The sequence below is a fragment of the Homo sapiens genome, chromosome 16 (genome assembly GCF_000001405.40).
Source record: "Homo sapiens chromosome 16, GRCh38.p14 Primary Assembly".
In the NCBI taxonomy this organism is placed as follows: domain Eukaryota; kingdom Metazoa; phylum Chordata; class Mammalia; order Primates; family Hominidae; genus Homo; species Homo sapiens.
Window position 1 is genome coordinate 70,546,242 of NC_000016.10, and position 24,656 is coordinate 70,570,897.

The 24,656-nt window shown below is 43.4% G+C and overlaps 1 protein-coding gene across 1 annotated transcript in view; it reads left to right on the plus strand.

Annotated features, from left to right (window-relative positions):
- The window catches only part of SF3B3 (splicing factor 3b subunit 3), a 53,853-nt gene that overhangs the window by 22,426 nt on the left and 6,771 nt on the right, over positions 1-24,656 (plus strand). Inside the window, exons 11-24 of the mRNA NM_012426.5 lie at positions 2,129-2,201; positions 8,205-8,356; positions 8,810-8,965; positions 9,938-10,093; positions 10,645-10,788; positions 14,228-14,350; positions 15,389-15,543; positions 17,635-17,809; positions 18,824-19,029; positions 19,127-19,283; positions 21,170-21,295; positions 22,042-22,254; positions 22,802-22,900; positions 23,765-23,908. Coding sequence (NP_036558.3) covers positions 2,129-2,201; positions 8,205-8,356; positions 8,810-8,965; positions 9,938-10,093; positions 10,645-10,788; positions 14,228-14,350; positions 15,389-15,543; positions 17,635-17,809; positions 18,824-19,029; positions 19,127-19,283; positions 21,170-21,295; positions 22,042-22,254; positions 22,802-22,900; positions 23,765-23,908 — 2,079 coding nt within the window. The remainder of the gene's footprint in view (positions 1-2,128; positions 2,202-8,204; positions 8,357-8,809; positions 8,966-9,937; positions 10,094-10,644; positions 10,789-14,227; positions 14,351-15,388; positions 15,544-17,634; positions 17,810-18,823; positions 19,030-19,126; positions 19,284-21,169; positions 21,296-22,041; positions 22,255-22,801; positions 22,901-23,764; positions 23,909-24,656) is intronic.

A 24,656-nucleotide genomic window follows, 5' to 3' on the forward strand; every position in this document is an offset into this window, starting at 1 on the left:
ATTACAAGCGTGAGCCACCGCGCCTGGCCAAGAGCCATTGCTCTTGATTCGTTAGTTACTTATTTCTCATTGGATCCTAGTGAGCATATGATGAAAGCTAGTGCTTTACACAAAAAATGCATATGTGCGGCTGGGCACGGTGGCGCACGCCTGTAATTCCAGCACTTTAGGAGGCTGAAGCAGCTGGATCACCCAAGGTCAGGAGTTCGAGACCAGCCTGGCCAACATGGTGAAACCCCTTCTCTACTAAAACTACAAAAATGAGCCGAGAGTGGTGGTGGGTGTCTGTAATCCCAGCTACTCAGGAGACTAAGGCAGGAGAATAGCTTGAACTGGGAGGTAGAGGTTGCAGTGAGCCGAGATCACGCCACTGTACTCCAGCTTGGGCAAAAGAGTGATACTGTCTCTAAAAAAATGCATATGTGCATTAACAGAAAATTTTTGTATAGTGTAAGAGATAAATGACTCAAGAATCATTTTTTAGTTTCCTGCTACTTCTCTCCCCACTTCAAATCTATAGACAAACCTTTGTTATATATAAAAATATTTTCTGAGGTGGGCAGATCACGAGGTCAGGAGATCGAGACCATCTTGGCTAACACGGTGAAACCCCGTCTCTACTAAAAATACAAAAAGATTAGCCAGGCGTGGTGGCGGGCGCCTGTAGTCCCAGCTACTCAGGAGGCTGAGGCAGGAGAATGGCGTGAACCCGGGAGGTGGAGCTTGCAGTGAGCCAAGATCGCGCCATTGCACTCGAGCCTGGGCGACAGAGCGAGACTCCGTCTCAAAAAAAAAAAATTTTTTTTTAAATTGTTGAACGTTGCTTTATTCCTTTATGTCTATTTGTTACACCTTGTTGTCTAACTAGATTGTGGTCTCAATTGAGCCAGGGTGACTGACAGTTTTACATTTGGTATAGACTATAGCATAGTTGACAGTTGAATTTTATTGATGATGAAGTTCTTAGGTCTTCCTTCTAATTATACCAGTAAACTAGGAAAAGGGCTAGTCTTTCTGTGAATATACATGAATTCTTCCTATAAGATGTGGGTTACACGTTATATATAAGTGGCTAGTTTATTGTCTCTAGATCATTTAAAAACATTCAATAATTTTAATTTTATAATGATTTTAAATTTATAAAAAAATTGCAAAGACAGTACAGAGAGTTCCTGTATAACCTACACCCAGTTTTCCCCTCTAGATCATTTTGAATTTGGCTTAGATGTTTTGTTTACTCTTATGTTTGAGAACCTATAGGACATGTAGAGAATCATTCACTCTTGACTTTAAGGAGCATAAAAATCTAATCAGAAAGACAAAACAGTTAGTACCCTAAGAGGTGGTGACTGATTTCTTTCTTTTTTTTGGAGACGGAGTCTCGCTCAGTCACCCAGGCTGGAGTGCAATGATGCAATCTCAGCTCACCGCAACCTCCGCCTCCCGGGTTCAAGCGATTCTCCCGCCTCAGCCTCCCGAGTAGCTGGGATTACGGCACCCGCCATCATGCCTGGCTAATTTTTATATTTTTGCAGAGACGGGTTTCACCGTGTTGGCCAGCTGGTCTTGAACTCCTGACCTAAGGCAATCCACCCGCCTCGGCATCCCAAAGTGCTGGGATTTCAGGTGTGAGCCACTGGGCCCAGCCGGTGGTGACTGATTTCTATGAGTGCTTATAGAAGGGAGAGGTGACTGCCAGCCAAGGGGATAAGGGAATAATTTTGTTAAAGGAGGTGGCATTTGAATTGGTCCACATGGGATTTGGCCTTATGGGAGCTGGGGAAAGAAAGGGGATGCTAATTTAGATGGCCTGATTGATTCCCAGTGGTTACTGCTGTTCTGAGGATGATCAAGGCATATTGTACTTGAAGGAAAGGGGTATGGTTTTGCCTGCAGCAACTGTACCCTCTCAGACATCCTGTAACTTTTGCTTAAGACTGTCATGGGGATTGCCACTAAGAACCAGCCTGTTTGGTTCTTAGATTCTTCTTTCACTAGGTGGTTTCATCCTTTAAATACAGCATACGTTGTGAACCCTGCCTTTGAGACCTTATTTTTTGATGTGATTGTAAGCAGGTAGCTGAGTTGCATGCTCACTGGATCTGTGGCTTCCCTCTTCTCCTGTCAGGTGTCAGAAATGGCTGTTTCTGAGCTACCTGGTAACCCCAACGCTGTCTGGACAGTGCGTCGACACATTGAAGGTAAGCAGCTTTTTCCCAATAGTCAAAATGAGGATCTAGGTGCCATTGACATAGAAGGCTTGAAAGGCTGCGTTCATAATACTTCTGTATCATTTCATTTAGCACCATATACCAGAAACTTTCTGGCCCAACACTGTTTTTGAGGCTCTTCCGTTCAGGATGCCTTCACCTACCATTTCTTTTTGTGCAGGTGGGAAAGGGGGAACATAGGTTGGCTGTTATATTTTAGTACATAAAGGTTTCAGAATCATAGAGCTGTCAAATGTGGTATTGACTTTATATTCATAAAGGTACTGGTTTCATCTGTAAGAGGTATGATATGAGGGAAAGTTGTGCTTTTTCATTCTTCTTCAACTATATTCTTTTAAATTGTTTTGAAACCACAGTGAAATTGAAGGTGGTGTTCTAGGAATTAAGAGATTTGGGAAAGCTTGTTAGTCAATCTTGCTAGTGCTTAAGGAAAGCAGAGTGGAATTGAGTGGAATTCGAATTTTAGTGTGAGTAGAAAAGCGGGGATGGGGAAGGAGAAGGGAGTTTGAGCTCCTGGATATAAATGGTCACCTGATCCTAAAACTTTGAAAGTAATAGGAGAATGCCTAGTAGTTACTGCAATAGCAGGAAAGTCTTGTGACAATTGAATTGCAGCCTCATAGAAAGAAAGCTCAGTCTCATTTTCCCTTGATTCACATTGGAGCTACGTTTTTCTCTTGTTCTCTCAGGAATGTGGGATGGGTGAGTAACATCATCCTTGCTAGCAGACAGGTTTTTCAAGAAAACAGCTGTAATTCTGCCTGATATTTAGATATTCTGCCTGTATGAAACAGATTGAAGGAGTTGGGAGACATGTAGGAGGAAAACAACTTACTATTAGTAGAATACTCATTTTTGTGGATTTAATTTTCATTGTAGGCATTTGAATCATATCCAAGTTGAGTAGAAAGGGAAAATTGTGAATAGGAAATGGGTAGGCTTATAAGCTGAAGAGATAATTATTAGGCACCTGGTTTTATGTGTAGTATCTACATAGAAGTTGGTCCGTGTTGGTGTTTTACTTTGGCTTGGTGGCTTGTTGATATTCATGGCCCTTGAAAGCATTGCCTAGACTGTTTGAATTAGAAACACGTTTTAAGATAACCTATTGTGTTCTTTCTTTTTTTCTTTTAACTTTTTAAATAAACTTTTTATTTTAAAACAGATTTAGGGCCAGGTGCGGTGGCTCATGCCTGTAATCCCAGCATATTGGGAGGCCGAGGTGGGCGGATCATCTGAGGTCAGAGTTTGAGACCAGTCTGGCCAACATGGTGAAACCCCATCTCTACTAAAAATACAAAAATTAGCTGGGCGTGGTGGTGCAGGCCTGTAATCCCAGCTACTTAAGGGGCTGAGGCAGGAGAATCACTTGAACCTGGGAGGCGGAGGTTGCAGTGAGCCGAGATTGCACCACTGCCCTCCAGCCTGGGTGACAGAGCGAGACTCCATGTCAAAAAAAGAAAAAGAAAAGAGATTTAGGTTTACAGAAAAGTTAACTCTCACTTTTATGAAGAAGACAGGAAGTTATAGGGGTTGAGTGTCTCAAGACACAGTCTAGGTAATGGGGACAGAATATCCTGGCTTCTGAATCTCAGTTGAATGCCCATTTTGATTAACTGCAGTGAGATTCTGTGGGTCTTGGTGGTTTCTTTCAGGATAAGTTTAGTTTTTGAGTGCCCACCATGTACTCAGTGATTAAGATAGACTCTGCCTCAGAGCACTTGCCATCTAAAAAAAGAAGACAAGTATACAAAAGTGTTGTGTGTTGTGATGTGGTGAAAGGCACAGGTACATTGCTGGGAGGGGTTAAAGGAGAGGGCATGTGTTTGAAGGTCAGGGCAGGCTCTTTAGAGGGACAGCATTTGCTAACTTAGTGATAGGCCGTTTGTTGCATTATGGAACTTGTAGTTGAACATTTTTCTCCTTTATTAAATGTTAGAAGTCTTGGAAAGGACTATATCCTGCTAAATTTTACTCTTTAGGTACTGTAATTTGGGAGTCACCTATAAATACAGGTCGGGTTCTGTTGGTTCACTCACTTTCCAGATACCCGAAGTTACTATTGAGTGAACATTCCTTCTGCCTGCACATGCAGCAGTCTTCCAGGCAAATACTAACCTTGGCTGGTACTTGGTGATGCACACTACCAATACCAAGCCTTTTTTTCTCTTCCACAGGTGGCTGGTGAAGGTGCTGATCACCACAGGTGTGTACCTAACTGCTAGGGTCGATGTGGGGTCTTATAGTTTATCCAAGGAGAGGGACCTGCACAAAATATTGAGGCTGCCCTGATGGTGTCTTTCAGAGGGTAACTTTGCAGTTGGATGTCACTGGGCATAATAGTGCTGCACACCATCTGCCTGTGCATCAGATGGTCTGAGGCAGGAGTCTGCCTCTCTACTTCCTCCCACAGAATTTGTCATATATGGTTAATTTGCCTTTTACTAAGCTAAAAGAGTCTCTAGCTAGAGAACTTTAGCTTCATACTCTCATAGAGTTGTACATTCCAGGTGTACTGACTGAAAGATCAGGACCGAGAGAAAGCTTTTGAGTATATTCAGGACTTGCTGAAGCAAGATAAGTATCAGATACCCTTGTCTATGAAGTGAGAGGGAGTTACTTGAGCTTCAGGTATCTGGATGGTCGCTCACTTTACCTTTTGGAGTGAGCTGCTGGTTGAGCCTTAAATCCTAAGGCAAGGCAAGTAGAAGAAAAAAGCATTCCCTCCTCTGGGGTCCTTAGCAGTGTTCAGACAGATGGGAGCCCTGTTGAACTGTGACCTAAAGATACAGTCTCATACCCTTATGGATTCTTCATTGAGGTATGAACTATTGTTTTTTAACATGAGACTTGAATTCCTTAGAATGCAGTGTGGATGGTACAGTTCCTAGTCATTTACCTTGACTAAAGCTTGGCTTTGTTCTGAACTCCAGCGTTTTTTTTAAAATAGTGTTTTGGGCTGGGCGCGGTGGCTCACGCCAACACTTTGGGAGGCTGAGGTGGATGGATCACCTGAGGTTGGGAATTTGAGACCAGCCTGACCAATATGGAGAAACCCTGTCTCTACTAAAAATGTAAAATTAGCTGGGTGTGGTGGCACATGCCTGTAATCCTAGCTACTAGAGAGGCTGAGGCAGGAGAATCGCTTGAACCTGGGAGGCGGAGGTTGCAGTGAGCTGAGATTGCGCCATTGTACTCCAGCCTGGGCAACCAGAGCGAAACTCTCTCCAAAAAAAAACTAATAAATTTTTTATAGAATTGGGGTCTTGTTATGTTGCCCAGGCTGGTCTTGAGCTCCTGAACTCAAATGATCCTCCCTCCCCAGCCTCCCAAAGTGCTTGAACCACCGTGCCCAGCTTGGACTCCAACTTTTAATCTGCAGTCACTCTAGTACATAAGAATTAACCTGCTGCAAGTCCTCTTCACTGTAGAAGGAAGGGGTAGAAGTTACAATGTGCTTGGTATTCACAGGGCAGTGTTTATTTTGAGGAAGTCTGTGATGTAAAGCAGCTTTGAGATGTCGTTGGCTCTCCCACTTGTTGAATTGTCTAGCAAAAGTATGACCCTATTTAAGTTCACTGAGCATTTATTCTCTTATGTTTGAGTAGTCTGAAGTCTTGGTCGAAGGAAAGGCACCCCTCCTCCCTTCTTTGCCCCATTCTCTCCCATGAAAGTCAAAAGTTGTGTGGTCTGTCTTTTGGAAGGTCACCTTTTCCCCTTGGTGAAGATCTGAGACCAGAAATCCTGGCCAGTTACAGCCTTTTGTTGTTTGGCTTTAATTTGCTTTGACACAGCTTTTAGGGTTATTAGGTTTCAGTAATGAGAACATGGGAAATGATACTGTATTCATATAATATTAAAATTAAACAACTGTTATTTTTACACAACAAAAATTTCCAGTACAAAAACTGAGAACTGGAGTAAAGGTTCCAAACTTGGTGTTATGTAGAGATGGATTTTGGTTTTGTTGAAAGCTACTGAGACATCCATTTCAGAGATAACCATGTCCTTACTTGTTTTATGATAGTGAGTAGTGCTTAGTCTTACAAAGCCATCTTATAAGACGTTCCCAAAGCATTTGATATATGTTGACAGTTCTAGCAAAATAACCAAAAACCAAGTATCTAGCTTCTTGTCCTGTATTATTCCTTATGATTTGGAAATTGAACCTTTACTCTGTGGATTCCTGGTCTAACCATTAGAGCATGCCCATTGGGAAAGATCTTTAATCCTTGTTTTTCAGCCACCACAGTAGGTACATATATATGCAATATTAACTGAAACAAAAGTTTCACAAAACAGTAATTATCCTACTATATATGAAGCAACTTCATAAATTACATTTATTTCTGTTATGAAGTGCCTATTGTGCAACACATTAAATTGATTTTACGTCCTGCTAATAGGGCAGAACACTACTGTAGGCCATGCCAATGATACATCTTTTTTGTTTGTTTTGAGACAGTCTCATTCTGTCACCCAGATTGGAGTGCAGTGGGGCGATCTCGGCTCACTGCGGCCTCCGCCTCCCGGGTTCAGGCAATTCTGCTCAGCCTCCCGAGTAGTTGGAATTACAGGCGCCCACCACCACACCCAGCTAATTTTTGTATTTTATTTTATTTATTTTTTAGTAGAGATGGGGTTTCACCCTGTTGGTCAGGCTGGTTTCTAACTCCTGATCTCAGGTGATCTACCCACCTTGGCCTCCCAAAGTGCTGGGATTACAGGCATGAGCCATCATGCCTGGTCGAATGATACATCTTCATTTGACCCCTGCTTCTGTAAAGAATGCTGATTCTGCAGAACTGATCTAGTAACCTTAATCTAGCTGAACCTCATTTGAAGTCATCAGAACCAAAAGTATGCCCTTCATGTGGGTGGGTGGGTGGACCAGCCCTGTGGCATTGAGCTCTTGACAAGTGCTTAGGCAGACGGGTCCTATAGCTGCTACTGCTAGGAGTGAGTCAGCCACTACATTGTGTGGTGCCTTGTCTTGTTCTGTCCTTTTTTTTTAACCTGATTTCTGGTTAAGGGGGTGTTAAAACAAAAATTCAAATGTAAACTAGGAAAATCTCAACTCTTTTAAAAAATTAGCATGCCTTTAGTCAACATTTATCAAGCTTTACGCCAAACGTACTGGATGGGGACACTTGCAGAAGCTGTTGTATGTTGTAGGGTGAGATACATGGAAAATAGATGGCCTTTATGGGATCTGTAGAAGAAACTGAGGGTTTCTGGTATACCTCAAGTCCTCTGACTTCCTTGAGAAACTCATTAGTGTTTATTCAACTACATTTAATTAGAAAAAGCAAATTCTAATAGGATTGCTCATGACCACAGGATTGTTCTGTTTCTAAATAGTGAAAAACCAGAGAGGTCACAGAATAACAATATAAACAACCCCCACCCTCCATTTCCTGGTTATCTAGTTTTCTTACATCATTCCCATTGGGACTAGGATTCTCAGCTTCCAACCCTAGAATGAGTTAGTCTCACAGAGGCTTAAGTAATCTCTATTTTATTCATTAGAGCTTGTGTTCATTTCTACATAAGCTGCTTTTGGAAGAAGTTAGGGGTCTTTCCTAGTTAGAAGGAGTATCTCTTCTTAGGAAGGGGTTGTGTGATTGACAACTGGCACAAATAAATGAAGCTCTAGCTCAGTATGTTCATGTATCAATATTGTAGTATTTAAAATGTCCTCATGTCTCCGATTCTCTTGCTTTGTCCTCTCACTTCTTTAGCAGATGTCTCAAGAAAATATTGAGGAAGCAGAGTATATCTGTAGGCTCTTCTGACCCCTAGTTTTCTTCTGGATCATTTTGCTCTGTGTGCATGTGTATGTGTGTATGTGTGTAATAACTACACATAGAAGAACTGCCTTGGAAGGTTTCTGAAGAGAACTCTTAGTGTTTCATTTGGCTTTGTAATTCTAATGAGTTCTTATCTAACCAACTCCCTTCTTTTCTTTTTCAGATGAGTTTGATGCCTACATCATTGTGTCTTTCGTGAATGCCACCCTAGTGTTGTCCATTGGAGAAACTGTAGAAGAAGTGACTGACTCTGGGTTCCTGGGGACCACCCCGACCTTGTCCTGCTCCTTATTAGGAGATGATGCCTTGGTGCAGGTGAGGGTTCTCAGAGCTTACCTACTTGGCCTGCTTTGTTCTTTCTTGGCCTTCATTGTGATGCAGGCTGCTGTGTTCATGTCTCTTCACCCTCACCTTCCAGCAAGCCTTAGGGGTAGGGAACATATGATTTGGGCACATAATATCCCTCTCTGTATTTGCCATTTTTCTGTTACAGAGCCACATCACTGCAGCTTTCATCTCTAATAAAGATCTTTATAAGTGTTTTGTTAATAAGCTTTGAACTTCTTTGAAGTGGACACTGCAAAACATGAACTATTTAAAAGTTGACCTTGCCTGAGGCCTACTAACTCTTTTGTCTTTGATTCAACTGGTGCCTCAAATGCAGTGGCCCCAGGTCTGATTTTAGTGACAGATCTGATAGATGTGAGGGTCATTCTGAGTGATGAATCAAATTGTTAAAGTCAGGTTTCTTTCTGTTACTGACTCTAGGTCTATCCAGATGGCATTCGGCACATACGAGCAGACAAGAGAGTCAATGAGTGGAAGACCCCTGGAAAGAAAACAATTGTGAAGTGTGCAGTGAACCAGCGACAAGTGGTGATTGCCCTGACAGGAGGAGAGCTGGTCTATTTCGAGATGGATCCTGTATGTTATTTTATCATTCACTGTGGGACTTATTGTAGGGACCAGAGGGAAAGATGGGCATTGTAGTCTAGTCATTTAGATGATAGTATGGTGAAATCCTGTCTCTACTAAAAATACAAAAATTAGCTGGGCGTGTTGGCATGCACCTTGTAGTCCTAGCTACTCAGGAGGCTGAGGCAGGAGAATTGCTTGAACCCGGGAGGCAGAGGTTGCGGTGAGCTGAGATTGCACCACTGCACTCCAGCCTGGCGACAGAGCAAGACTCCGTCTCAAAAAAAAAAAAAAAAAAAAAAAGCGAGCTGGAGTGACAGTGTTCACAAACCAGTTTGGTCCCTTACAGAGATGGGGAAAAGGGGTAATTTGATGTCTAATTCTAGGTAGAGTTATGAAATCCCCTCTTAGCAGTGAAACACTTGCTCCTCCTGCATTTCACTCTCTACTTTTCCAACAAATATTTGGCATAGATTTAATTTCTGCAGTCTGAATCCATTTCAGAAAACTTCTATATGGAAGGATGTTCAGTACACTTAATTCTCTTGCTCTCAGGAGGTCTCTAGTGTGGCCAAATTTGTAGCCTGCCTGTACCTTTGGTTGAGATTTCTCTGTCTTTAACCATATTTGAATTCCCTTCACCCAGAATATTCTTGTAAAACACAGACAGTTTTATATGTCTCCATTTCCTGAGAACAAAGTTGGCTCAGAAAATTTGTGGCACATTGACCTTGTCAAAGGTCTGTTCATTCTCTTATTGATGGAAGATACTCATTTTGCTTGCTGTGAGCCTGTTAACTTCAGTCTTGAGAACTCAGGTAGATAAATTCTTGTCATTTACTATAGTAAGAGGAGTGAGAGGAAGCAGAACAAAATACAACAGCCCTCCTTCATTCTCTGGATCCAGGGTTTTGGGGTGAATTGGAGCATCTAGACCCATCCCTCTGTAGTTTTGACCTTGCTGTGTCTTTCCTCCTGTAGTCAGGACAGCTGAATGAGTACACAGAACGGAAGGAGATGTCAGCAGATGTGGTGTGCATGAGTCTGGCCAATGTACCCCCTGGAGAGCAGCGGTCTCGCTTCCTGGCTGTGGGGCTTGTGGACAACACTGTCAGAATCATCTCCCTGGATCCCTCAGTGAGTGACACTCTGAGCTTCAAGGATCATCTGGTTGGAACCTGAGCATCTGGCTCCTGATGTCTATCTCTGAGATCCACTCCTGATGTCTATCTCTGAGATCAGCTGGGTTAGAACCCAGAATCCATACCTGCTGCTTCTCTTGTCATTGCAGTGTGTTTCAGGAGTTTCCTGCTGTGGTTTAAGGATATGATCTGAGACTACAGAAATGTTTCTTTGGCTTAAGCCTCAACTCCTTTTTTTAAGTTAACAACCAAGACTGCATAAATTTGACTTGCTGCAGGACCCTAGGTGACTTTTCAGGAGGTGTGCTTTGCTTAATTACCTTTGCCATTATCTTCTTTGACAAAAGGAGGAAAGCATGATCTTCCCGAAGCTTATTCTGAAATTGGGTGTAACTAATAACTCAGTACTCTCTTAGAACTCACTCCCCGGGTTTTTTCTGTGCATAAGGAAGTACTTTTTCAATCCTAGAATTAGATTTCTCTGGGTATGTTTTTTTCCTAAAATTGTCATTTTCTGTGTTTTTATGATTTTTCTCTCCCTCTCAGGACTGTTTGCAACCTCTAAGCATGCAGGCTCTCCCAGCCCAGCCTGAGTCCTTGTGTATCGTGGAAATGGGTGGGACTGAGAAGCAGGATGAGCTGGGTGAGAGGGGCTCGATTGGCTTCCTATACCTGAATATTGGGCTACAGGTAAGAGATCCAGAGGCCCACATTGTGGACATTAGGCCTTCTGTACGTTTCACACACTCCTTTGTTTGATAACAGGGATTTTCTCTGCCCATGGTTTCAGATCCTCACCTTATGAAAAGTGAACAGTGTCACTCTGGGTTCCACTTTTCTCAGCTCTTTAATTCGAACAAATCAGGCTGAGAAAGAAATATTTTGATAAAGAGTCTTCACATCTGATAAATGCTGTTTGATAGCTACTCTAAGTCAGAACTGGATGGGTTCCTGAAGGATCAACTGTAGTTCCCACTATTCACTAGTTTCAAAAGCAGCAATGAATACCTCTCAGTTCATAATTGGCTTCATTAGCAATAAAGGACCCCTAAATGTTCCCTGTTGTCAAAGTTGCTGAGCTCTTTGTGCCGTGAAGAAAAGGTGTGCTTTAACGCTAAGATAGTGTCAGGATTCTTGATCATATGCTTTTCATTTTCCTTAATGATTATTGACTCAGACATCTAAGTAATCTAGCCCAGGTACTTTTTGCTTTTTAATTTTACTTCCTAATTTAGAAATCTCAAACATAGCCAGAAGTTAGAGAGACTAATACAGTGAACTTCCATGTACCCAGTTTTTTTGGGAGAGGGTTGTTGTTATTTTTTTAGTTTTTTTTCTTTTGTTGGATTTTTATGGGCTGCCACATGGGTTTTCGGTCTATTTTTTTCTTTTTTAGTTTTAACAGCTATCAGCAACATTCTGCTGTTCTTATTTTATCTTTTCCCTGGACTATTTTAAAGCAAATCCAAGATCTATCATTTCATCTATAAATACTTGATAATGTAGTTCCAACAGATGTCTGTTTTTGTAAGATACTAGTATTATCATGCTCAGCAAAATATAACAATAGTTCCTTATTACCATGTTCCAGTTTTCCCTGTTCTTCTTTCCCCCAATGTGGCTTTATAGTTGGTTGTGCTCAGGACCTCAGCATAGCAGTCTACGCTTTTTCCATTTCCTTCATCTTTCTTTTTATGTCTCTTAAACTGTTCTACCCCATTTTGAAGTATTACAAGATCAGATCATTTGTCTTGTAGAATTTCCCACCTTCTGGACTTAATAAAGTCATTCCTTATGTGTTCAAGTTCCTGTATCCTCTGTATCAAGCTGGTGGGTAGAATTAGACCATGCCATCCATTAGAAATGTAAGGTGAACTACAGGTGTAATTTAAATTTTCTAGTAGCCACGAACAGGAAAAAAGTAATTTTAATGTTTTTTTTTTTTCTTTAAAAAAAAATAGAGATAGGGTCTCGCTGTGTTGCTCAGACTGGTCTTGAACTCCTGGCCTCAAGTGGTCCTCCTACATTGGCCTCCAAAAGTGCTGGTGGGAATGCAGGCATGAACCACCGTGCCTGGCCAGTTTTAATGTTTTATTAACTCTGTATATCTGAAATCATTCTAACATGTAGTTAATATAAAAATTGCTGAGCTATTTCACCTTTTTTTCTCTCTTTTTTAAACCAAGTCTGAAATCTGGTATTGGCACTTTACACTTAGCAGTCTTAGTTCTCTTTAAAATTTTATTTGTCTTTATTTAAAAAAAATTTCTTCCTTGACACAGAGTCTTGCTCTGTTGCCCAGGCTGGAGTGCAGTGGTGTGATCTCAGCTCACTGCAGCCTCTGCCTCCTGGGTTCAAGCGATTCTCATGCCTCAGCCTCCTGAGTAGCTGGGTTTATGGTGTGCACCACTACGCCCGGCTAATTTTTCTTGTTTCTAGTAGAGATGGGGTTTTGCCATGTTGCTCAGGCTGGTCTTGAACTCCTGAGCTCAAGCGATCCACCCGCCTTGGCCTCCCAAAGGGCTGGGATTACAGGTGTGAGACACCATGCCTGGTCCTGTCTCAGTTCTGACTAGCCACATGTGGCTTGGGGTAGCTATAGTATCGGATATTGCAGAAGAAGAAGTTGGTTAGATTCAGATTTAATTATTGGGGGAGGGGGACAGGAATACTTAATAGGTGGTGCTGTTTACTCCTGTTGCATCACGTCAGGAGGAGTGTAGTGTCTGGTTGTCCCACTCACAGTGATGTTGGGATGTTTGTCTGTATCTGTGTTAAAGTTCCCGTCAACCCTTTACTTACAGCTATTACACACATTGCCTAGGTTCATTCTTTCATTAGTGGTTGGAAAATGATTTATTTCTTTTTGGATTTAATTAGTTGGAATTCTAAAGACAAAATTCGCATCATTTCTTTGCTTACTATAAGTACGGTTCATACAGGAAAAGGATAAATAATTTTTTTCCCATTGTTCACCTGTTTTCAGAGTAAGGAGTGAGGGCCACAGCACTCCTTTCAGTGGGGCCCAGTAAAGTGGGTTTTTTGCTGTTTTTTAGAGTAACATTGGTCAGGTGCTGTGGCTCACACCTGTAATCCCAGCGCTTTGCGAGGCTGAGGTGGGTGGATTGCTTGAGCTCAGGAGTTCGAGACTAGCCTGGGCAACATGGCGAAACCTCATTTCCACCAAAAATACAAAAAATAGTTGGGAATGGTGGCTCATGCCTGTAGTCCCAGCTACTTGGGAAGCTGAAGTGGGAGGATTGCTTGAGCCTGGGAGGTGGAGGCTGCAGTGAGCCAAGATTGTGGCACTGTACTCCAGCCTGGGTGACAGAGTGAGAACCTGTCTCAATAAATAAATAAATAAAAATTTAAAAAAATAGAGTAACATCATAAACTTGTGGATTTTTATACATTTGTGCTGAAAACTCCTTTTTTTTTTTTTAAACAGAGACAGAGTCTCGCTATGTTGGCCAGGTTGGTCTTTAGCTCTTGGCCTCAAGCAGTCGTCCTTCCTTGGCTTCCACAGTGCTGTGATTACAGATGTGAGCCACCTCACCTGGCTTCTTTTTTTTTGAGGGGTGCGGGGGGGTGGTAAATTGACTCATTCTAGAAAAGTGGGAATTTCTATTTGAAGTTAGTTCTTTTGTCCTTTTAACATGACCCCACTATTTGTAGGGGTTTCCTTGCCTTGTTGCACAATAAAGTATCCCCACATGTGTCTGGAACATTCTTGCCCCTGCCCCAAACTAGTCATTCCTTTTAGGAACCTTGTTCCTTTAAGAGGAAATGCTGTTTAGGGACCATGGTCTTTGTGGTTATTTAATTATTTATTTGAAATATACAGTAGTGAAGAAGGATTTAATATACTTGGTAAAAAGAAATATTAAGAAGATATAGTGAAAAATAAGTGTGTATTTACTTAGTAGATGCTCCATAACTTTGGATGATTAAGTGATTTACTGAGAGAATGAAATGAATGGCTATCGGATTATTAGGATCTTTTTTAAACACCCAAGTCATTTCTTTCTATCTGCTCTAATTTCTTATGTGAAGTACCCAAGGGAGAGGTTTTCCCATCATAGCTGATAAGCTTCCATCAGGCTTCACCTGCTCCTCTCCTTTTGATTAGAACGGTGTGCTGCTGAGGACTGTCTTGGACCCTGTCACTGGGGATTTGTCTGATACTCGCACTCGGTACCTGGGGTCCCGTCCTGTGAAGCTCTTCCGAGTCCGAATGCAAGGCCAGGAGGCAGTAAGTAATGAAGGTTGGGGACAGGCAACATCTTTGGGATTTTAGTGGCACCATCTGAGAACAATCTTTGCTGTAAGCTTCACTGTCACTAATTTGCCACTCCATCTTGATTGGTTTCCTTCATGTGAGAAGTCCTGAGTTTTCCTAACCTAGAGCTTCCTCACTGGGGCTCCATCGCACCATGTCATGATTTGGTTATAGCTGGGTAGAGATATCGATCCCTTTAGCCCTCTGGCTGGTCAAATAGGGCTGGAAACCTCCCCTCTAGGACACCACTAGCCATGAGAATTCTCAGGTTTTATCCCAGTCTTAGATCAGTGTCACGTTTACTACCTAATGTGAAAGAGACTGGGAAACATTGTGTCCTTTGTAGTTAAGAATGTTAGTGTTTCTGGGCACTGTGCTAATTGATTCCATTTAATTCTGTTTTTTGTTGTTTTTTTTTTTGAGATGGAGTCTCACTCTGTCGCCCAGGCTGGAATGTAGTGGTGCAAGCTTGGCTCACTGCAACCTCCGCCTCCTGGGTTCAACCAATTGTCTTTCCTCAGCCTCCCGATTAGCTGGGATTACAGGCGCATGCCACCACGCCCAGCTAATTTTTGTATTTTTAGTAGAGATGAGGTTTCACTATGTTGGCCAGGTTGGCCTCGAACTCCTGACTTCAGGTGATCCGCCTGCCGTGGCCTCCCAAAGTGCTGGGATTACAGGCATGAGCCACCGCACCTGGCCTTCATTCCATTTAATTCTTGCAGCTGTCCAGCCTTGTGGTACTGTTTTCATTTTACACACGTGGAAGCAGGCTTAGAGAGATGAAATGGTGAGTCTAGATCATATGGCTCGTAGCCCATGCTTTTCACATATGCTAAGCCATAGTGCCTCTCTCTAGCCCTCTTTTTCTTAAGATAGCCTGTTATATTTCTAGAATATCTTAGGATACTCTGCAGACTGAAATTTGGGGATAGGGCTTTTGGTCAGCTTATACCATATTTGTATTTTTTCCCAAACCTTATTGGAGCTGGGTTTTTTTTTTCCCCTCAGGTATTGGCCATGTCAAGCCGCTCATGGTTGAGCTATTCTTACCAATCTCGCTTCCATCTCACCCCACTGTCTTACGAGACACTGGAATTTGCATCGGGTTTTGCCTCGGAACAGTGTCCCGAGGGCATTGTGGCCATCTCCACCAACACCCTACGGTGAGTGAGTCTCATGTTTGAAGCTCAGCAGGAAGCCTTTCTGCCAAGGGCTCAGACTGGTTCTGCCAGAGTGTTGGAGGAGGCTGTGAAGAGGTGGCAGAGAGCCGACTTCACCATGAAGCTTGTGTGTTGCAATTGAAACCTTCATTTGGCTCAGCATTTTAGTACCTGAGAGCCAAGTTTCGGTGTTTTAGCTTCTGTTAAGATTTTCAAGGCCAAGCTTTAATACAGTCCAATCTTCCTGAGATTTCAGATTTTTGTTTTCTAGCAAAAGGGTATTGCCATTGGATTAGTTTTAGAGCAAGTATTGGATCACTGCATTGATAACCTTTCTTACTCTGTCTTGTCATTTGCGGTATTAAATCTTAAATGTTAACCTATCTATAAGTTATTTAGACCTTTTTCAAGTTGACAAAACTGTTCTTCCTGGTAATATTGATGTGAAGTTTGAGCACTGTATGTAATATTCTTTGCAAGATGGAAAAGAACCTAAAATAATTCAGTCAGTTTGGCTTCCTCAGGTTTTGGGGGGCTTTTAAAATTAAGCCACCAAAGTTGTTCACATCCTGGTTATAACTATTGGCTGTTCATAATGAAACTATGGCCTCTTGATAGATTAATCACTATTGCTTATCAAATGAGCTCCCAAAATTTCTTTGCAACAACTTTCAGGGTCTTTTCATGGTCATTGTCCTTTTTCTTTCCGTCATCTTTGTATTTATCTTCTGCTCCAGCAGAATTGATCTCCCTGCACTGCTCTACATCACTTAATATTTTTTTAATCTCTACCTGTGCTAGAATGCTTCACCCACATACATACCTGCCTGTCAGTGTTCCCCTTGTCTTTTAAGCCAGCCTTGTTGTAGCCTCATCTGTGGCCCCTACCTCCTGAATTGCTATAGATTTAGACAATCGCTACAGATTTTTAGGCTTTCCTAGCAGCAGAACTTACTTCCCCCCAAAACTAAATCAGGGAAGGTGACTTATGAGACATAAAAGCAGAGTTCTTGGCAGGCAGTTTATTTTTTTATTTAATTATTTTTATTTTTAAGTTTTTTTTTTGAGACAAGGTCTTACTCTGTTGTACAGGTTGGAGTGCAGTGGTGTGATCATGGCTCACTGCAGCCCCAACTTCCTGGGCTCAAGCTATTTCTGCCTCAACCTCCCAAGTACCTGGTGGGACTGTAGGCGCATGCCATCATGCCTGGCTAATTTTTGTGTTCTATTTTATAGAGACAGGATTTCACCTTGGTGCCCAGGCTGGTCTTGAGCTCCTGGGCTCAAGAGATTCTCCCACCTCAGCCTCCCAAGTAGCTGGGACTACAGGCGTGCGCCACCATACATGGCTTTTTTTTTGGTATTTTCAACAGAGTTGGTGTTTCACCATGTTACCCAGGCTTGTCTTGAACTCCTAGCCTTAGGTGATCTGCCTGCTTTGGCCTCCCAAAGTGCTGAGATTACAGGCGTGAGCCACCACACGCAGCCCCTATCTTTTTTAATGTAGAGAATAAACTACAAATAAAACTCCATCATTAGAGATCGGGTAACTATACTTTTCAGAGTACCTGGGTTCTGCTCATTTTGCACATAGTTTGGCTTATGTGTACATCTCTGTCCCATTTGACAGAAATTTGTAGGTCCCTTATTTGCTGTCTCTTGCATTGTCATAGTTTTCCTGAACTGAGGTGATTTTTGTTCACAAAGGTATCCACTTTATTTTATGAAGCACAGTCACTACAAATACCATATATGTTTAGGTAATTGCAGTGTTTCACAACAAATTTGGGATTGGGCTCTTTATTATCATTGGAGTGATTAAAAAAAAACTTTTGACAATCGTTTGTGTTTCATTGGTAGGAACTAGAACTGCTGTGAATTGTGGTAGGGTGTTGCCAAATGGGAAGGCCCTTCCTGGATCTCTGTGTCTGCATCGCAGAGTTTTCTAGAGTAGGAGGCTGTTGTTTAATGTTGCCTAATGCCAACGTTAGAGCTCCAGGGATTGACGTGTTTGCTGACTGCTCAAAGTCTATTTCAACACCAGTTTCTGGGTCCGAGTGAGTATTAAATAACTGCCTTGCTTTTTTGTCATAGGATTTTGGCATTAGAGAAGCTCGGTGCTGTCTTCAATCAAGTAGCCTTCCCACTGCAGTACACACCCAGGAAATTTGTCATCCACCCTGAGAGTAACAACCTTATTATCATTGAAACGGACCACAATGCCTACACTGAGGCCACGAAAGCTCAGAGAAAGCAGCAGATGGCAGAGGTAATGAGACTAACGTTCAGGGGTTCTATTAAAAGATGTGTGAAATTATGTTGAAAAGTTTAAACTGCCCGGCACTTTGGGAGGCTGAGGTGGGAGGATTGCTTGAGGCCACTAGTTCGAGACCAGCCTGGGCAACATAGCAAAACTGCACCTCTATTAAAAATTTTAAAAGATAGCCTGGTGTGTTGGTGCACTCCTGTAGTCCCAGCTACTTGGGAGGCTGAGGCAGGAGGATCACTTGAGCCCAGGAGTTCAAGACTGCAGTGAGCCATGATCATGCCACTGCATACCAGTGGCACTCTGGACACGAGACTCTATCAAAAGTTTAAACTCCTGTAATTGTTAGTATATTCTTTGTTTTTAAAGATCTAGGCTTTTTTCAGCTTTTTTAAGCAGAGGCCTTTGCCCCAAAGTACTTCATTTTAGAGCCTTTCTTGTAACCCAGGACTATACTCTGACCTCCATTTATTCACAATTAAGTTCCCTCTCTGAAACAGAATTCTCCCGTCCTTGAGCTTCCAAAATAGACTGTATTTCCTTTATTTGGGCCCAAAAGAGACAGCTTTCATGTTCTCCACAACACCAGCTCTTTCTAGAACTCATTGCCTAGCAGAAACCAAATAGCTACAACCACGTAGAACTGTATCCATCCTTAAAGAGTGGAGACAGAGTAGTTTTAGTAAGGGAAATCAGATGGGTTGGATAGAAAAGTGGAGTTTCCGTTGTCATTTTTCTCAAGCCACTAGTCCAATATTTGTCACAGCTATTGTTATTTTTGGTGTTTTCTACTAATATGTAACCAGCAATGTCTGGATTTCCCTTTCTGATCTTCTGTCTTCCCTAGTCTGTACACCTCTCCCTTTAATAGTCATGTCGGGAAATCCTGGCTGGGATGGCTGACTTTGCTGCTTTATGTATTGAGAACCCCCTGGAGTGTTCTTGCTACCTATCCTCTTCTCAGCCAGCCCCTACCTCTGAGCACGCCAACTCAGTTACTCGTTTTTTTGGGTTTAGGAAATGGTGGAAGCAGCAGGGGAGGATGAGCGGGAGCTGGCCGCAGAGATGGCAGCAGCATTCCTCAATGAAAACCTCCCTGAATCCATCTTTGGAGCTCCCAAGGCTGGCAATGGGCAGTGGGCCTCTGTGATCCGAGTGATGAATCCCATTCAAGGGAACACACTGGACCTTGTCCAGCTGGAACAGAATGAGGCAGCTTTTAGGTAAGCAGCCCAGGACAGTCCAGGGTTTGGCAGGCTGGAACAGGAGCTCTCTGAGTTTTGACTAAGGCCTTACTCTTGCTTCTTATTCTGTGTGTAGTGTGGCTGTGTGCAGGTTTTCCAACACTGGTGAAGACTGGTATGTGCTGGTGGGTGTGGCCAAGGACCTGATACTAAACCCCCGATCTGTGGCAGGGGGCTTCGTCTATACTTACAAGCTTGTGAACAATGGGGAAAAACTGGAGTTTTTGCACAAGGTAGGAATCTGCCAGTGGTTCTCCTAGATTTTAAGTCCCATTGAATTCTCTCACTTTTGCTTATGTTATGGATCAGGTCTTTTGGGGACCAGCTCCTTGATTCCAATCTCTCTCTTACCAGCACATGGAAAATGCTGGGGCCTTCTAGCTGCAGTGATGTTCTTGTGCCTGTGCATTCCACAGGAAGGCTTTGTGCTAACCATCCATAATGGGGAGATAGATGCACATTCAATTGGTCTCTTTCTTACTGTTTTAATAAGCAGGCAACAATTTGTGACCAAAATTCAGCAGTTTAAATAATTAATATTCTGGCTGGGCGCAGTGGCTCATGCCTGTAATCCCAGCACTTTGGGAGGCCGAGGCAGGCAGATCACCTGAGGTCAGGAGTTCGAGACCAGCCCGGCCAACATGGTGAAAGCCTGTCTCTACTAAAAATACAAAAATCAGCCAGGCATGGCGGCACGCACCTGTAATCCCAGCTGCTCGGGAGGCTAAGACAGGAGAATCGCTTGAACCCGGGAGGCGGAGGTTGCAGTGAGCCGAGATTGCGCCATTGCACTCTAGCCTGGGTGACAAGAGTGAGACTGTCAAAAAAAAAAAAAAGATTTAATATTCTTTTCCACCTGCATTCTCTGGGAAGTTACTGTTTAATGGGTACAGAGTTTCAGTTTGGGAAGATGAAAAAAATTCTGGAGGTGATAGTTACACAACAGTAAATGTGCTTAATGCCACTGAAGTGTATACTTAAAAATGACTGGCTGGGCATGGTGTCTCACGCCTGTAATCCCAGCACTTTGGAAGGCCGAGGTGGGCGGGTCACCTGAGCTCAGGAGTTCAAAACCAGTCTGGTCAACGTGGTGAAATCCCATCTCTATTAAAAATAAAAAATCAGCCAAGCATGGTGGTGGGCGCCTGTAACCCTAGCTATTCCAGAGGCTAAGGCAGGAGAATCACTTGAACCCAGGAGGCAGAGGTTGCAGTGAGCCGAGATTGCGCCACTGCACTCCAGCGTGGGTGACAGAGCGAGACTCTGTCTCAAAAAAAAGAAAAGGATTAAGATGGTAAACTTTATGTTATGACTATTTTACCATAATTTTTAAAATAAAAAGAATATTCTCTTCTCCACAATGACAGCATGTGGATTCCTTCAACCCTACCATAAGGGGAGTATCCTCTAAGAAATACTTCATAGACCCTTTTGCATATTAAATTTGTCTCTCCTTTACAACTGAGATGTCACTAGGCTGGGTGCAGTGGCTCACGCTTGTAATCCCAGCATTTTGGGAGTCTGAGTCGAGCAGGTCACTTGAGCCCAAGAGTTTGAGACCAGCCTGGGCAATGTGGTGAAACTCAGTTTCTACGAAAAATACAGATAATTAGTCAGGCTTGATGGCACATGCCTGTAGTCCCAGCTACTCGGGAGTCTGAGGTGGGAGGATCACCTGAGCCCAGGAAGTCCAGGCTATAGTGAGCCATGATTGCGCCTGCCACAGCCCTTCAGCCTGAGCAGTAGTGAGACCCTGTCTCAAAAAAAAAAAAAAAAGTCACTTTTCACTAGCATTTCTTTCCTGTCCCTCCACAAATTACAGTCACTTGGCTACTAAGGCTTCACTGTTGAAATAACACCAGTTAAACAGAGCACAAGCTCTGGACAGCAGTCGTCTGGTACCAGAACTTCTTGTCAGTTACAGCATTGATCCCTCTACTGAGTGAATGCAGCATGCGGAACTTGTTCACCCCAACACCCAGATTCATTAGCAAAATAAGCTCACTGGTGTGTTTCTTAATGATAGGCTCCTGTGGAAGTAGGCATTTCTGGGCAGAGAGGTGAGGCCTGTGTCTGGCTGGCATTTATAATAGCTGTATTACCTGCTTTTCCTCTATAGACTCCTGTGGAAGAGGTCCCTGCTGCTATTGCCCCATTCCAGGGGAGGGTGTTGATTGGTGTGGGGAAGCTGTTGCGTGTCTATGACCTGGGAAAGAAGAAGTTACTCCGAAAATGTGAGAATAAGGTAAGTGTGCTGGCATTGGTGCTGAGATCTAGCTCATGTGTCAAGGGTGGGGGCATTGGTGGGGTGGTGGGCATTGAGTTTTAAAATCTTATCTTTATTAGGACTTGTTGTGTTACCCCAATTCCAGCTTCAGAATTATGCCCTTGTTTTTTTGTTTTTTGGTTTTTGAGACGGAGTCTCGCCCTGTTGCCCAGGCTGGAGTGCAGTGGCGCAATCTCGGCTCACTGCAACCTCCGCCTCCTGGGTTCAAGCGATTCTCCTGCCTCAGCCTCCCAAGTAGCTGGGATTACAGATGCGCGCCACCACGCCTGGCAAATTTTTTGTATCTTTAGTAGAGACAGGGTTTTACCATGTTGGCCAGGCTAGTCTCTTAACTCCTGATCTCATGATCTACCCGCCTTAGCCTCCCAAAGTCCTGGGTTTACAGGCGTGAGCCACCGCACCGGCCCTTGAGTTTTGAGAGGAGCAGGAGTAGAGGGATCTCATTTCTTGACTTACCAAACAAGAACCAGCTTTCTATCTTGCTAGCTTCTATAAGGAAAGTAAATGTGAGAGTTAGGCATATATTTGCACTATATTAAAAGCTATTTGGCTCTTTTTTCCCACCTAGAATTCATTGCTAACTGCTGGTTTTTGGTATTTGCTGTTCTGCTGACCCTACGTATGTCATACGGAAAGCTGGGCTTTCTTTGGGTTCTGAACCCCAAGATTACACCCACCATCACTATTGTCTTTGTTTTTCCCAGCATATTGCCAATTATATCTCTGGGATCCAGACTATCGGACATAGGGTAATTGTATCTGATGTCCAAGAAAGTTTCATCTGGGTTCGCTACAAGCGTAATGAAAACCAGCTTATCATCTTTGCTGATGATACCTACCCCCGATGGGTCACTACAGCCAGCCTCCTGGACTATGACACTGTGGCTGGGGCAGACAAGTTTGGCAACATATGTGTGGTGAGTTGATGTTGTTAACTTGGGTTACAGTGATGTGTAGGAAAGCTGGCTCAGTTTCTTGTGGGTAAAGCCAAGGAGGAATCAAATCTGAGAAGTAAAAATGGATATAAAATTCCATCCTACTAAAGCTAACTCTACAAGCAATCTGTTCTTTAAGCCTTCTTACTAGTCTTTTGGATTTTTCTCTGTGGTTTATCTCCCTCCTCCCTATTGAACGTGATTTAATGATAGGTTTAGTTTGAGCTAATGGCTAATATTTCTTTTTACATTTTATAAGAACTTTGGAATGTCTGTTATCTATGTTGTGTGGTTTTGGTTTTACCCTTAGCTGTGTTAAACTCTTGCTCATGGGTCGATTCTTTTGAGTTTCTTGCTCCTCAGACACAGCTCCTGCCCACCAGAGCAGGTGCAGGACACGTGGGCTCAGGCCTCTGTCTAGGCAGTGCCCCTGTGGCTGACTTGCAAAGACCTGGCCAGACCTGTTGCTTGGTGACTCAGGTGAGCAGGTCCGGGCCCCAGCAGTGTGACTTGTGTCACTTCCTTGTAGGTGAGGCTCCCACCTAACACCAATGATGAAGTAGATGAGGATCCTACAGGAAACAAAGCCCTGTGGGACCGTGGCTTGCTCAATGGGGCCTCCCAGAAGGTAAGATTGCAGAATGGGCCCCAGGGAGAACACTGCTTAGCACTTTTCCTGTTGCCCTCACTGAAGAAATTGCCTTTGGTGAATTATTCATAGTGCACACGACTGTGCTGAGTGCTGTCCGTCCACAGTCCTTTCTTACCAATCTGCAAAAAATCTCCTTGGAGAGTAGCGAGTTTCTTAGAGAGAGTCCATTCCCAGTCCTCTGCTCTGAGGTGTGTCCTGGGCTTTACTTTCTCCTGTAGGCATGTGCTGCTTTAATAGAGCATCTCTGGACTTTCGGGCAAATCTATTTTAGAAGACAAGCCTAGTGATTGCTGTTTTCTATAATTTTCTTTGTGTTTTCCTTTTTTATGGCAAGCTTGATAAATTTAACAAAATGATTCTTATCGTAAGAAATGATGAACAGTAACTTTAGCATGTTTTATGAGGCATTAAGCTTTAAGTAAATGTGAGAATTTTAAAATATTTGTAGGGTTTAATAATTTTTGGATTTATTGTTTGTTTTTGAGACAAGGTCTCACTCAGTCGCCCGGGCTGGAGTGTGGTGGTACAATCACAGATCACTGCAGCTTCCACCTCCTGGGCTCAAGTGATCCTTCCCACTCAGCCTCCTGAGTAGCTGAGACTATAGTACATGCCACCAAACCTGGCAGATTTTGTGGGTATGGGTATACGAGACCTCACTGTGTTGCCCAGGCTGGTCTTGAAATCCTGGGCTCAAGCAATCCTCCCACGTTGGCCTCTATAATAATTTTTGGATGTTAATAGATGATGAAATGTGCCTTAGGGAGCACTGCTTGCCCTTGGGAGTCCAGGGAGGCTCCTGAGGGTGCACACAGTCACTAGTCTGTTTGTGACTCACAGGCAGAGGTGATCATGAACTACCATGTCGGGGAGACGGTGCTGTCCTTGCAGAAGACCACGCTGATCCCTGGAGGCTCAGAATCACTTGTCTATACCACCTTGTCTGGAGGAATTGGCATCCTTGTGCCATTCACGTCCCATGAGGTGAGAGCGCCCACATTACTCTGGCCTTGACTTTTAAGGTTGTTTCTTGGTGCTGGATCTACCTAAGAGGTCAAATTCATTTGTCCCCACATATAATTAATAATGTTCTGGGAATTATAAAGTGACAGAAGTACTTGGGGAGATAGGAATCTTGATTCTCCCGCACCCAGGGAAGGCCATTTGGTTTTTTTTTTTTTTTTTGCGACGGAGTCTCACTGTTACCCGGGCTGGAGTGCAGTGGCGCAATCTCAGCTCATTGCAAACTCCACCTCCCAGGTTCACGCCATTCTCCTGCCTCAGCCTCCCAAGTAGCTGGGAATACAGGCGCCCGCCACCATGCCCGGCTAATTTTTTGTATTTTTAATAGAGATGGGGTTTCACCGTGTTAGCCAGGGTGGTCTCGATCTCTTGACCTTGTGATCCGCCTGCCTCAGCCTCCCAAAGTGCTGGGATTACAGGCGTGAGCCACCCGCGCCCGGCCAGGCCGTTTGTTTTTATAGTGTCCCAGGGTTTGCTTCAGTCTGATGCGAGTTTACAAGGTTAGCCTGAGCCCAGAGCTTTAGAACTGGACTCCACAGACTAGGATTGCCAGGATTGATGGGATGATCCCTCCTGGGGCACACACTGCCATATGGAATCAACTCTAGGTTTGCCAGAGTTTGGCATGTTTTATTCCAGCCAAGGAAGCTGGGATCAGGAATCTGACCTCACAAACCATTCTTTATGTGTGGCATTCTCTCTTGCACTG